The sequence below is a fragment of the Homo sapiens genome, chromosome 13 (assembly GCF_000001405.40).
Source record: "Homo sapiens chromosome 13, GRCh38.p14 Primary Assembly".
Lineage (NCBI taxonomy): Eukaryota > Metazoa > Chordata > Mammalia > Primates > Hominidae > Homo > Homo sapiens.
The window spans coordinates 40,179,840-40,193,197 of record NC_000013.11 but is presented as its reverse complement, the minus strand read 5'-3'; the positions used below and the strand labels follow the sequence as shown (position 1 = coordinate 40,193,197).

The 13,358-nt window shown below is 44.0% G+C and overlaps 1 protein-coding gene and 1 long non-coding RNA gene across 2 annotated transcripts in view; one reads left to right on the top strand and one right to left on the bottom strand.

Moving 5' to 3' along the window:
* LOC124903162 (uncharacterized) overlaps positions 1-13,358 on the top strand; it is a 138,590-nt gene that overhangs the window by 24,496 nt on the left and 100,736 nt on the right. The window lies entirely within an intron of this gene.
* LINC00332 (long intergenic non-protein coding RNA 332) lies at positions 4,168-11,389 on the bottom strand. The gene is made up of 4 exons (NR_046870.1): positions 11,336-11,389; positions 6,945-7,052; positions 5,176-5,277; positions 4,168-4,739 (listed from the first exon to the last, which is right to left on the bottom strand). It is a non-coding gene; the product is annotated as a long intergenic non-protein coding RNA 332 (long non-coding RNA).

The following is a 13,358-nucleotide window of genomic DNA, read 5'->3' as shown; positions in this document are numbered from 1 at the left end:
TGGGGGGCCGTGTGGGCCTTAGCTGCCTGTACTCTGCTCCCTCAGTGTCTAGAAAGGCTTTCGTTTCTCCCAAGGAGAAGCATGGAGCTCATTCACACCGCCAGGCTCGGCACCTTCTCTCAGAGTCCTTCCCTGTGTGTGGGTGCTGCTCTTGGGAAACCGTCCCTCCCAGAAGGCTGTGCTCATTCTTCTTGCCCCACGACCAGAGTGCCTTTGAGTGTGGAGACAGACTGTAACCAGGTCTCCTCTGAGGACTTGGGCTTGCAGCGCCTGCAAAGCTGATGGGGACCACACTGGTCTCTGAGTGACATCCAGCCCCCACCCACCCACCCCTGAGGTGATGGCGAGATGCTCACTGCCAGGGCTGTGGAGGACGGGAAGCCCTCCTTCCCGGGCCACTCTTCCTGAGCCTGGCAGAACCCAGCATGTCCCTTGTCCATGTTGTTGACAGGCCAACTCACAGACTGGGCATGGACACTGGGACCCAAAAGCCTGAATGCTATTTCTAACTTGGCTGTGTCCCTGGGCTTTGGTTTCCTACCACAGAGCCTGGGTGGAGAAGTCACTGGGCAGGGGCTCAGCTAGGCGGCTGACTTGGGGTGGATACTGGGAGACGTGGGGATTTCGCTTCATAAAAGTGTAGAAAATGAGTTTAGCAGTCTTTGTGACCTCATCCATCTAACTCCAATCTCTGACTTTGGCCATGGTAGGGATTAAAATATATTCAAATAAACCCCTACAAACTCTGTAGCATTTCAATATGTCTTTGATAGGAATTTAAACTCTTATCCTGAATTCATTCTTGTACTTATTCTTGGAGCATACATTTATTTAGAATATTTCAAGAGAGCCCTTCCTAAAAATCTCTATAAACTTTAAGTGCAAATAAGCTGTGTTTGCCAAGCCTCCAGCCCCCAAGGAGATCAATTCCTTCTCAAGTACCCTACAAGTTTGGGGCTGCCCAGGCAATATTTCAAACCTGTTTAATAACACCTTGTGGGGAAATGATGACACATTTTCTTATTTTCCATTAGTTTTCTATTTGTTCTTTGAATGAAAGAGACTCCATATGTAAATGTGATTATTATTCTCTGAACTTCCTCTGTGCAAGTTGGGTACCAGAATCTCCTGGGTTGTTTGAACAGGATTCAGGCTGGAATTTCAACAGCCAATATCAATGAAGGAAAGCAATAAAATCCATGAAAAATTAACATTGCTAAAGAGTACCACAGGCCCCCCAGGGCTACAACTATGAGGGTCACCAGTAAGTGACCACGATTTAATGAAGTGGCGCTCCCTCTGATTAGGAAGAAGTGGGCCTGGCATCTTCTACAGCATAAATACCGTGTTTCTGAGCATGCCAAGCCAATGCTTTCAGCGTCTGAATTTTCTCCCAGCCTGAGCTGGCAGTGGACAGCAGAGGACATTCCACTGAAATCGGGCCATCGGGAGCTGAAGACAAAGGCAGCTGATTCAAGTGCACCAAATTGGAGTTTCTCTAATCAAATATATTAAACCCACCATCATTCTTGATTGTTTTAATGGGAAGAAAGGGCAGCTGTGGCCTTCATTTTCTAAGCATTTTATTTAGTGCCATGGGGGTTGGAAGAAGGGGAGGGGAGGGAAAAGTGGGTGGGAAAGGAAGAGAGGTAGAGATGGCTAAGAAAGCTACAGGAAGCTAATGTCTTTTGTCTTAAAAGTAAAATGATTTTGCATGCTGTTCAGATCCACACAGAGAGTTCCCAGAGCTGTTACTCACTAAGAAAAACTTGAGATAAGCAGTTGATAAAGCACTTTTTCATAGGAGTAGAAAAGCAGCCCCAGACCAGGGCTTGGAATACTCGGGCAAAGAAATCCTGGTGACTAGCATTAAATGGATCTGCTTCACTAGTTACATGGGAGCCTGCTCAGTGGAGCATTCCCCCCACCTAGCCCCACATATATTTATGCTTTCTATAAAAGGATTTAATTTTCAAGACACTTGCAGGAACTTATCTCCACTCCTTTTATAACCTTCCAGGCTAAGAGCAGAATTCACAAAAGGCTTTTCTCACCATTTGAACAATAGGATTTGAAACTCTAGTTAAGAAACTGATGTCCCAACTTTTTTTTTTTTTTTAAATAGTTTAACAGATGGTCCAAGGGTGATGTTTCCTGGCCAGAGTGCAGTACCACATACAGTGTCTCGGTATGCACCTCCAGCTTCAAAGCCGAGCTTGGGCACGTGATGTCACTTCCTCCAGCTGCTGAGTTGATAACAGGATGAACCTGAACAAGATAGGAACCAGACACTCCACTGTGTAATTAATTATTTCACTCCAATGTAAGGCAGGAGACTTAGGTAGACACTGTTTTAGTACTTGGAGCTTAAATGCACTTTGCAAAGGAACAAAGGTCTGGGAGCTGTGGTGTGGGGCTCACAGGCTCACACAAGCTAACGTGAGTCATCTGGAGAAAGGGCTTTGGAAGCTGGTGCCTGTTACAGCCTGAAGCCAGCCTGTTTCTGAGCTGGAACGTGAAAGGCAGCTGGCTGTGTCAAAGGGGCAGAGAATAAAGCCGCAGTGTAAAATGAAGACACAATTCAGCAAAGAGAAGATGCTATTAAAATGGTTTCTGCTCCTCCAGCTTCTTTTGGAGGGCCCCCTTTTGGAAACAAATGATTCTGTTCTTTAAAAAAAGGAGGTGGAGGTTCCTTTCAGAAAAATGTTATTGGACTCTTTTTAAATGTCCCTATTTGAAGGGAATTAAAGGGAACGGCATAAGGCAGCGTCTATATACTCAGGGGCCATTGTAGCAAGTGACACAATGCCAGCTAAATGAAGCCCTCTGTCCTTTGGAGGAAATCTAATAACACAATCAATCAGCTCCAGTCTCCAGGCATCCATGGTGGGCTGCCAGCCCCTCCAGGGAGGGTCCTTCCTTTGCCACGAGACAGCTGGGCGAGGAAAGCTTTGGGAGAGGAAGAAATTGCCAGTGCATTCCTCCCCACACTCCCTCCCCACTCCCTCTCTCACACACAATGCCCTTTTGTCCCTATGACCCCCATCCCTTAGCATGGCTTGAGCTGGCCTGGAGGCGATTGCCAGGGAGCAGCTCAGCTCCCAGCATCTTCTTCTTGCAGCAGCTCTGTGGGATGGGCCTCCTCCACAGCACTGGAGTTGTGTCAGGAGCTCTGGGGAGGCATCAACTGTTCTCAGCTTGCTCTGGTCTGGAGGGTGCTGAGGATGGCTGTCTCTTTTCATCTATGGATAGTGCCTGGGGCACGGCTGGGGTAGGGGTGGGGGTGAGGGTGGAGAGGACACCAGGCAAGCGATTTAGAGACTGAGTGGCAGCCAAATTTGGTGATGAATTTAGCTACATCACCAAATTTACTGAGTAAGCCTTAGGCAAGTAACCTAACCTCTGCTGTAGCGCATTCTTCTCTGCAAAATTAGAGGCTGGTGGAGTTAACATCCAAGGTCTCTCTCTGGTCCAGTGCTGTGAACCTCTTTTTGGTAACTGAGGAGATAGGATAGGAAACATCGTGGGCTTCTGAGTCAGACAGGCCCTCAGTTTGTATTCTGCCTTCACCACCTGTGGTTTTGTGCAAGGTATAAAACTTGTTTCTCTTTTGAAAAAATATTGGGTTAAGTCGTATCTACTGTATAAAGATGCGTAAGTTTTACGACCCGAATTAAAAGACAGAGTCTGGGATGATGCCCAACACACAGTACATCCTTCTAAACATCAGCTTTCCTTGTAACCCATCTGACATTGAATGTCAAACAACTGCTTAATAAAAATCCACATTAGTTAAAGAGGCTTGAAATTTGAAAACAAATTATATAGCACTTCCATGTCATAGGTTACAGTTCCTAGACATTTCAATATCAGAGACAAGTAAAGTTGGAAAAACAACAACAACAACAACAAATCAATCAGGATTGGTAGCAAGGTAGAATTGCCAGCTTTTAAAATTTTGGCCAAGTAAGTTTGTTAAAGCAAAAGTCTCATCTGCTCTCATTATCCTTTCAAAAACAAGGTCACAGTGACTAATCAATCTTCACTAGGGATGGACACTTGTCCTAATTAAACAGACATATGTAGGTCACATATGTATTCTTATTATACATCCAATGCATATGAGCATTGTCCTTCCATTCCCTGCTATTTACAATTCACTGTGCGTGTGTGACAGTTTGTCCCATTCTGCTACCAAGATGGGGCTGTTAGTGGGAAACCATGGTCTTCATAAGTAAACTTATTTATGTACTTTTATGTGTAAAGTAGCCTCTGCTACTTTCCTTCTTTTCCCTTTTTACTTTTCTCTCTAAGACCCCTACCCCTGTGTACACCCCCGTGTGTGTTTACAAACACACATAACGCTTATGGTGCATTGGGCGCCCAATCTACCCCAATTTTTTCAGAAATAAGCCAACTGAATCGCAAGTGCCATACATTTTGATTCTGTACCCTTTCCCCCTCCTCCTTGAAGTCAAACGGAAAAAGTTGCTCCTTCCCTTTCCTCGGGAGCCTACTGAGCCTTCTCTAGGAGAGAGGGCCCTCCTTTCTTTAGCCTCCACTGGGTTTCGGGGCTGCCTGGCTGTGCTGACCCTTCTGGGCAGAGAACAAGGTACACAGAAAGCACAGCAGCCTCCTCCCTTCCCCTCCTGTGGCTTCAGTGGGCTTGGGGCATCTGCAGGGCTTCCCGCCGTCTCCTCGTCTCAGCGGCAACTTCTCCTCCTGTCCTGGCAGGAGTCCTAGGAAAGAAGGGCTTTTGAGTCAGTCGGTTTGTCTCCGTGCTCCTTTCCTTCTTGGTAGGAGAAGGCAGGCGACCTCTGGGCAGACGCCTGGGCTGCTTTCATGAGCTGGGAATCTGCACCGTCGCCCCCAGCTTGGAGTCGGGGGCGAGGGCTAAGCGTGCGGGAGTGGGATGGGAAACTGGACTGCTCTCCACCTCCTACTGATTTGAGTTCTCACACTGCGACCTCATGTGTTGTGAATTATAGAAATGCCAGACACACCCACAATTAAATATAAGCACCCAAAGGCTTTTGAACGCCAGTGTTAAGGGACTTTGAATGCTCCCTTGTTCGCGCCGCCTCCACACGGCTCACTTCCCTTACACCCAGTGGGGTGGAGCTTCTACCAGCTTGCACCCCACTGCGCTGGCCTGTTTCTGCTGCTTTCCTTTACCTTTCTGCCGCCAGGAACACGCCAGGCCGTGCTGGGATCGCATTTTCCTTGCAAGGGCAGTGACCCTTTTGTAGATATATTTCGTCTCTATGGGAGGTCTCTCTATGGTCAGAAAGGAACACACAGAAAATCCATTAAGCCCAATATCCAATCTCTTTCTGGGGTAATAGATGTCAGCGCTACTCGCTGAGATCTGAGTGAGAAATCTGCAGCCTCCTGGAGCTGAGTGCGGCTGAACTCATTGATCCAGCTGGCGGGCCACACGGACATGCAGCACGGTGCTACCTCTCTCCTCAAGGGGCCCAGACCCTGCAATACGCAGGTGGCAGTCACGCACAGAGGGTGGCCAGGGACTTCGCCTCTTCTGTCTGTTCCCTCCCCCACCCCCTGCTGTTTAGTGGAGCAGGTTCTGGCAATGCATGGGGGAAGGAGCCAGCAAGGAAGTGGGGTGGGGTGCACGTTTAAGCTGGGCTTTATCTTTTTTGGGCTTGTAAGTCTCTTTTGAAGTGATTTGGACCATAAAGAACAACGGTGCTTGTTTTTCATTTGGGAGGCTTCAGTTCTACCAAGAAGCGTCTTAAGTGTTAAGAGATTCACTGAGGTTGGCGCGCTCTCTCTTCATGTGGTTCACAGTTCTCATGTTTTACTTATTTTTGATGTGGTAGCTGTAGCCAATGAAAGCTATTCCCCACCCCCCCCTCCCCGGCCCCAGTTCAAAGTTATAAACTGAGAGTTTTGGGTTTCTGTCTTCAACGTTTCCTCTCTTTGACGTCTCTGTAGGACCAAAAATGCCAGTTTTTCAGTCACTCCCAGAGCCTTCATAGGGGCCAGTGGGTGGCTTGGGAAGGAACATGGGGGGAATTTGGCCTTCTGCCTTGGCGGGTATCCCTGAGTGCAGACCGGGTTCCAGGAACTATGTTAAGAGCTGAGGATGCCTTGGACACTCCCACCTTACCTGGGGACAGAGAGAGGACTCCACCATGCTCTCTTGAATGCCACCAACATCCTCTTAAATTGGCAAATCCAAAGATTGTTTTCAGTTTTCATAATCCTTTACCTCCTTCCAGTTCTAGATCCTGGTGACCCTCCCGTCTTTATTCATTGTTTTATTCAGTATATACCTAATAAGTGGCTAATTCATGTGCTATGGGGAGTGGCACAGCATCATGGTTAAAGGCAGGCTCTGGTGTCAGAGCGTCTGTCTGCACAGCCAGCCCTGACGTGTCTTAGATGTGTGACACAGGTAAGTTATGCAGCCTCTCTGGGGCTCAGTTTCCTCACCTATTAAATGGAGTTAATAATATTACCTATCTCATAAGGTTTTGTGAAGATTAGATAATACAAGAGACGTGCTTAGAACAGTGCCCTGGCACATTGTAGGTGCTCAATAAATAATGGCTGCTGTTACTGTGGTCTCTTCTCTCCCAGAGCTTACAGGCCAGTGATGCGGGACAGCCATCCAACAGGTGAAAGTGAGTTGCTCCGGTGAAAACAGCCAGGACAGAGCTATGCTCTCATGACCTGTGCTGCTCACTATTCCTCATTCCATGGTCTCTAACCCTTCTTTCTCTTTCTCCACCCCTGACTTGTCTTTCTCTTTTCTTCTACAATGTAGTGACTCCACAGGATTCTGTTTTTATTTCTTCCTCATGCTCCCTACACCTACTTCCAGACTTTCCAATAGGGCTAGCAGAGAAGCCTCAGGATGAATCGAAATATTTCACAGCCGTCACCCAGGAGTCATCTGGGGCAGGGGTGGAGTAACTTACATGTGCAGGCTTCCTTGTGACAGGGAGGTGGCTACAGATGGTCTCCCTGCTCAGCTGTCAAGTCTCTTTCAAGTCATCTAAGCTCTCTGCAATTCAGTTTACTCATCTCTAAAAAGGAGAGAATCCCTTATGTGGGATTAGTTGAATACACACGTACATACACACATACCCAACATACATATATATATACACACACACACACACACACACACACACATATATGTTCTGAATTAAATATACAATGTATATGCACATATAAACATATATACATAAATATATGTCTATGTGTATATATGTATATATTTACACACATGTACATATACATACACACATATATATTAATTTTAGTATACATAAATGTGAAAAAAATCTCAGTTCCATGTCTGACCCATAATAAGCACTCGGTCATTCGTAGCTGTAGCTCTTATTATGAGCTGGAGCTTTCATGTGGATTGTGGTTATTAAAGCACAGTTTCTGAAATATGGAAAAGTAGTCCTGTATGGTGCAACTCAGCCTTGTGTAGTCACTAAGCAAGGAATATGGAGACAAAGTTGACCATGACAGGGTCATGTCCTTAAAGGGGTTCACAGGGCAGATTTGTGCACGGGTAACTATAATGCAAGCCAAACTCTAGAAGACGATCAAATTGAGGAAGTCCAGAGGGGAAACAATTCTGCTCAGGCCATTAGAGAAGGTATCTTTAAGCTCAGGCATTTGAACTTACAGAATCAGAAAAATAACCATGGGTGGATAGGGCTGGAGGGAGGGCATTCTTAGTGGAAGGCAGAAGAAAGTGTTTGAGCCAAGGCACAGGTTCAGGCAATCTTGTGGCTGGTTTGGACTCTAATCATCTGGTTGGAGTGCAGAAGACATTGAGAGGCTATTTCTGGAAAGGCAGGCTGGAGTCTGCGATAGAGGGTTTGAAGGTTGTTAAAGAGTTTGCAGCCAACCACTCTTTTGAGCTACAAAAGCATTGTCCTAGAATAACTCAAAGGATCCATCAGGAAGATCCTAGCTTTCAAGGAGAAGACAGATTTAACAAAAGGAAGAGAATTTATAAAATAAGGAAATAAAACTGAGTTGAAGCATGCCAGCAACAGCATCTTCTTTGTTTCTACTGGCAAAGGACTCTGACATGAATAGTCACAGTACCATGGCTGCCATCAGATTAAAATTGTCAACAGATTTCTATGTGTAATAGAAACTTTAAACTTTTTTTATTACTTAAAAGAGAAAACATGGAGCCAAAGCCACAGACATTTTGGTGTTATTAAGCTTTAGTATTTGAGCCTGGTTATGTTGAGGTAATAATCTCAATACCAATCTTTCCCCATTGGATCCATCTTCTGTACACAATAGAACCTTCCAATAGCTCCTCACTGCTGAATAAATAATTTTCAAACTCCTAAGTTTGATTTATATTCTGCTTTACTCCTTCAGTCACTTCTCCTTGTGTTCCTCCTACCCCTGAAGATTTATATATTGAAATCCTAACCCCCAGGATGGTATTGGGAGGTGGGCCTTTGGGAGGTGATCAGGTCCTAAGGGTGGAGCCCTCATGGATGAGATGACTGTCCTTATAAAACAGGCCTCAGAAAACTCCCTCATCCCTTCTGCCATGTGAGGACACAGTGAGAAGACAGCCATCTGTGAACCAGGAGGAAGAGGGCCCTCATCAGACACAGCATCTGCTGGTGCTCTGATGTTGGACTTCACAAACTTTAGAACTGTAAGAAATACATTTCTGTTGCTTATAAGCCACCTGGTCCATGGTAAGTTGTTACAGCAGCCTGAACAGGCTAACACACCTTGTTGTTCTTATGAGTCCTTACCCTGAACATATTTAACTCCTCGTAGTTGCTTGAGCACGCTCTGCTCCTGTCTGCTCTGTGCTTTCGCAAATATGACTCCCTCTTTATCTTCTTGACCTGGTTAATCTCTTCTCTTTACCCAAAGCCCTTTTCTGAGGCCACCTCCTCTGAGCAGCTTTCCTAAACTCCTGTCTCAGGTGGTGCTCCTCTTTGGCTCTCACATAGTAACCTGTGCCTGTGTTTGCAATTGCAACTCTTCCACCTTACTGCAATTGCCAGTTTAACTGAACATCTTCCCCATGTGCTTGCGAGCTCCTGAGGGCAAGAGCTGCTTCTCTCACCCTTATATCCTCAGTGCCTGGCACATAATATGAATTATAAAACTGTTACCTAATTGATGAAGAGCAATTTGATAAGCACAAAACATATTGTTCATCTCAACAAGGCATTAAGATATTTTCAGGGCCTGGAGACAGCACCTAATCTTGAGTACTTAGTATGAAAGAAATAAAATAATCCATCCTTCAGGAAAAGGCAGGGCCCTCTTGAGGATTTAAAAAATGTTAACTTTGACTGAGGTCAGTGTATAAATGCAGTCTTAGACTTTCTTGCTTCAAAATCAACAAATCTGTAGCTAAAAATTCAGATTTCTGTGCCTCTACTTTATATCTTCTAAATCAAATCCCTGGGGGATGGAACCTGGAAATAGACATTTTTAACGTGTTCCCTTAGTGATTCTGATCTACTCTTAAGCCTTGGAACCCCTGACGTGGGCAAAGTCTCAAGTCAATGCAATTGTAATATCAGTCTGGGAGCTTGAGAAGGGACAATGCACATTGATGCAGTTTTTGTGGTTCAAGAATTCTCAGTGACACTCAAACCCCTAGAGTAAACTGCATCCCATGCAGGCCATCATGGGAGAGCAACTAGACTTCAGCATGAAACCTCGCTTCTGCTTCCTTCAGTTCTGTGATTTTTGAAACATTTAAAGAACAAGGAATGGGAACAAGATCTTCTGAATGTTACATTATCTGACTTGGATATTGGAACAAGGGCCATAGACATGAGCAGTCAGAACAGCTTGACAGGCAACTGAAGGTCATTAGAAATGGCCCCACCGTGGAGGGAGTGGGGAAGACCCGCGTGCCTCGATTTGCAAACAGAAATAAATAGACCACTCTGTAGGGCCCCAAGTAACAGGTTTTCCAGTGTTTTTGCCACTTTCTGGTTCCAAAGAGCAAACAATAAATTAACAGACAGGAGCTCTCAGCCTCCTAACCGGAGGGCCGCCATCAGACTGTGGCCTTCCCTCAGGTTACAGATGACGGAGAAATTTGAGGTTGTGGTGGCTCTGGTGTTACTTAGGTGTAGTTTCCATTGAAAACAGGAGACAGAGGGGGCTAAGGACATCTGGCTGGGCTTTTCTGGTCTATCTCTTACTGTACGAGAGGGGGGACCTGTTCCTAGCCTTGCTTCCAGCCTACTGTTTCCTCCCCGAGATAAACTGTGGTTCAGTTAGTGTAGAGAGGAAAGGCTCTGGGCCACATGGTAACTGAGACGAAAGGGAGCTAGGTGGTTGTGCCCCATCAGGATGCTTTGCTAATGGGTGATTCTGGTAGCATGACATCACCATCTGGGGATAACACAGATATGGAGGTAAAACCCTATTCAAGATAATGCTGTAACTGCAAGGAGACAAGAAACATCAACAAATAATAGAAGCAAGAGGTTGGAAATGTCCCTTATCTGTGAAAATAAATGCAGAAAGAAAAACTGAATATATGCTGCCAGATGGCTAAAGAGAAGATTAAGGGATGTGTCTCTGATGAATAAGCAGCTGTGATCTATTTCTTCATTTTATATATTTTTATTTTTTGAAATTGATAATGAGTTAGAAAAACCTTGGAGATTAATTTGACCTAGAAGCAAAGGCGAACATTATTGTGTTTTTTTCTGGTCATTCTCCCTAACACTGAAGGTCAAGGAGACAAATTATTTTTCTTTTCTTCTTTTCATTCATATATTTTCCCCTCTTTGCTTTAAATTTTGTCCTTGAAAATAAAATGGCTTTAGCTAATACAGGATTCTAATCACATTGTAAGACTATCATGATAAAATTGTAACCTTTGACAATGCAAATCTGCAAGATGTGGCAAGATGCAGTGATTAATATTTACTGTGCAGGTACTTTAAAACTCATTTGCCCTGAAATAACCAAGAGAAAGTTCTGTATGATAGAACTTTATCTAAACTCTCACTTACCTTGTAACATCTTTAAATTCTTACTAGTAAAATCTAGAATAAAAGAAGTCTAGAATAAAAAAAGTCAAGTAAAGACCCTCATAAAAAATATAAATCCTGGCTTATGTAAACTCAATGTATCTATCCAATTATAATAATAACAGAACAAACCCCAAAATATAAAATGAGGGGTGATTGTTTCTATTTCCATAGATTTTTTCAGATTTGCTGCAGGATTGTTTTAACCGAATATTCATCATAATTTACTTCTCCTTTTTTTTTTCTGCACACAAATTTTAGGGATAGATTTAGCAAATAAAACAAATATATATAATTACCCATTCGTTGAATCAGCATGTCTCTTGTAACTCTGTTCTTTGACTAGTTAGGTGTCACTTTTTCAGCTGTTGCTTTAAAAAACACTGATACCAGGCAGGTCTTCGTGACCCTACCAGATTGACAACCAAGGACTATTGTGGTGTTTACATTTCTTGGGTAAGTACAGCTTATCTGCCTCACATGCTGTGGGTGTAGGATTCTGGAACATAATCTAATATATGACTCAGCATTGTTAAGCACTGAAGGACTTCATGTGTCCATGGCTAGTTAGACGCATGCTTGCCACACATGGCCTCACCACATGTAGTAGCTTCCCACCTTGGCTAAACTCTCTCTCTTCTGCTTTTCTCAGAAATATGTTTCCAGACTTCTCAGTGAGAATGGCATTTGGGTACCTGTTATATTTCTAGTTGGCCATCCCTGAGTCACCAGGGTATGCCAAAGCATCACAGGGCCTTTTATTGTGATGTTAGACTGAATGTGATCGACGTGATAGACTGAATCATATCTCCCAAAATTGGTATGTTGAAGTCTTAAGCCCCAGTGTGACTATATCTGGAGATGGGGCCTTCAGGAGATAATAAAGCTTAAATGAGGTCATAAGAATGGGCCTCTAATCCAATAAGACTATGGTCTTACAGGAAGAGGCAGAGAGAGCTCTCTTTCTCTCTTTCTGCCATGTGAAGACACAATGAGAAGGTATAGTCTTCAAGTCAGGAGGGAGTCTGCACTAGAATCCAACCATGCTGGCACCCTGATCTTGGACCGCCAGTCTCCAGACCTGTGAACAAATGAATTTCTGTTGTTTAAGCCAGCCAGTCTATAGTATGTTGTTATAGAATCCTGAAAAGACTATTACACATATAAAACCTGGTAAAAAGAAATTGCTGAGAGGGCAATTTCTTCTAACTGAAAATACCTTGCCTCTTTCTATTCTGTCTTTGGAAATATTATTCCCTGTTTCTTCTATGGTGTTATGACTACTCATGGAAATACTAACAATTCTTATACTAATATATAACATTTACTGAGCTCTCACTATGGCCCAAGCACTGCTTGTACCATAAGTGATTACACAGTCTTTGGTATATAAGCCAGACACTGGTCTAAATTATTTTAAAATGTTAATTTTTATAACAACTCAGGTTGTTAATATTATCACCCCCATTTTACATGGGGTAACCGATGTTAAAAAAAAAAGGTTGTTTTGCCAAGGTTATTAATAAGCAAGCTGCAGAGCTCAGATTTGGACCAGGAAAGTCTGGTTTCAGAGTTCATACTGTTAACCCTTCTGTTATCTTGCCTATGAAAAGTTTGTTATAGCTCTTAAACCACACCACAGTCCTACAAGGCAGATGTTATTCATTTCCTTATTTTGCTGATGGAGAAACTGAGGCACAGAATGGCCATGTAATTTTCCCAGCATCAGACAGTCCAACCTGAGCCAGATAATTCTAGAGGCTTCCAGCCTTTTCTCCTCTGTGGGTCACCTCAAGATGACAAGGCTGGAGGCTGACTGTCTTCTGCAGGTGGTATTTAAGAAGAACTTCCATGCAAAGGGTCGAGGTGGTTAACAGCTACTGAAGAAGGGGGTGTGTGTTTGAGAGAAGCAGACAGAGATTTGTGATATTTTCCAGGCTGCAGGTACCAGATCTATGCCCTACTGAGTTCCATATGCTTTACCCAGGAACTACCATCTCAGAGGCAGTGAGAGAATTAAAATCTCTGGGCTCTGACTGTCAGATTCCATGTGTTCAGGAGTCAAAGCTTCATCTGGAGCTGGAACAACTTCTCTGGTTCAAAGTCTGCAGTGCACCTGCAGATTTCCCATTAAATTGCCTGCTGAATCAGGAATAATGATTCTCAGGGGGAAGAGATATTATTTGCATTTGAATTAATGTTGACTTTGGAGTCACAGATTCCTCATCAAGAAGGATTTAGAGCAATTGCTGATATCCTGGGGATCTGTGACCAGCTCATTATTTTCATCTCACAGGGTAGTACTAGAATTTTTAATTTTTT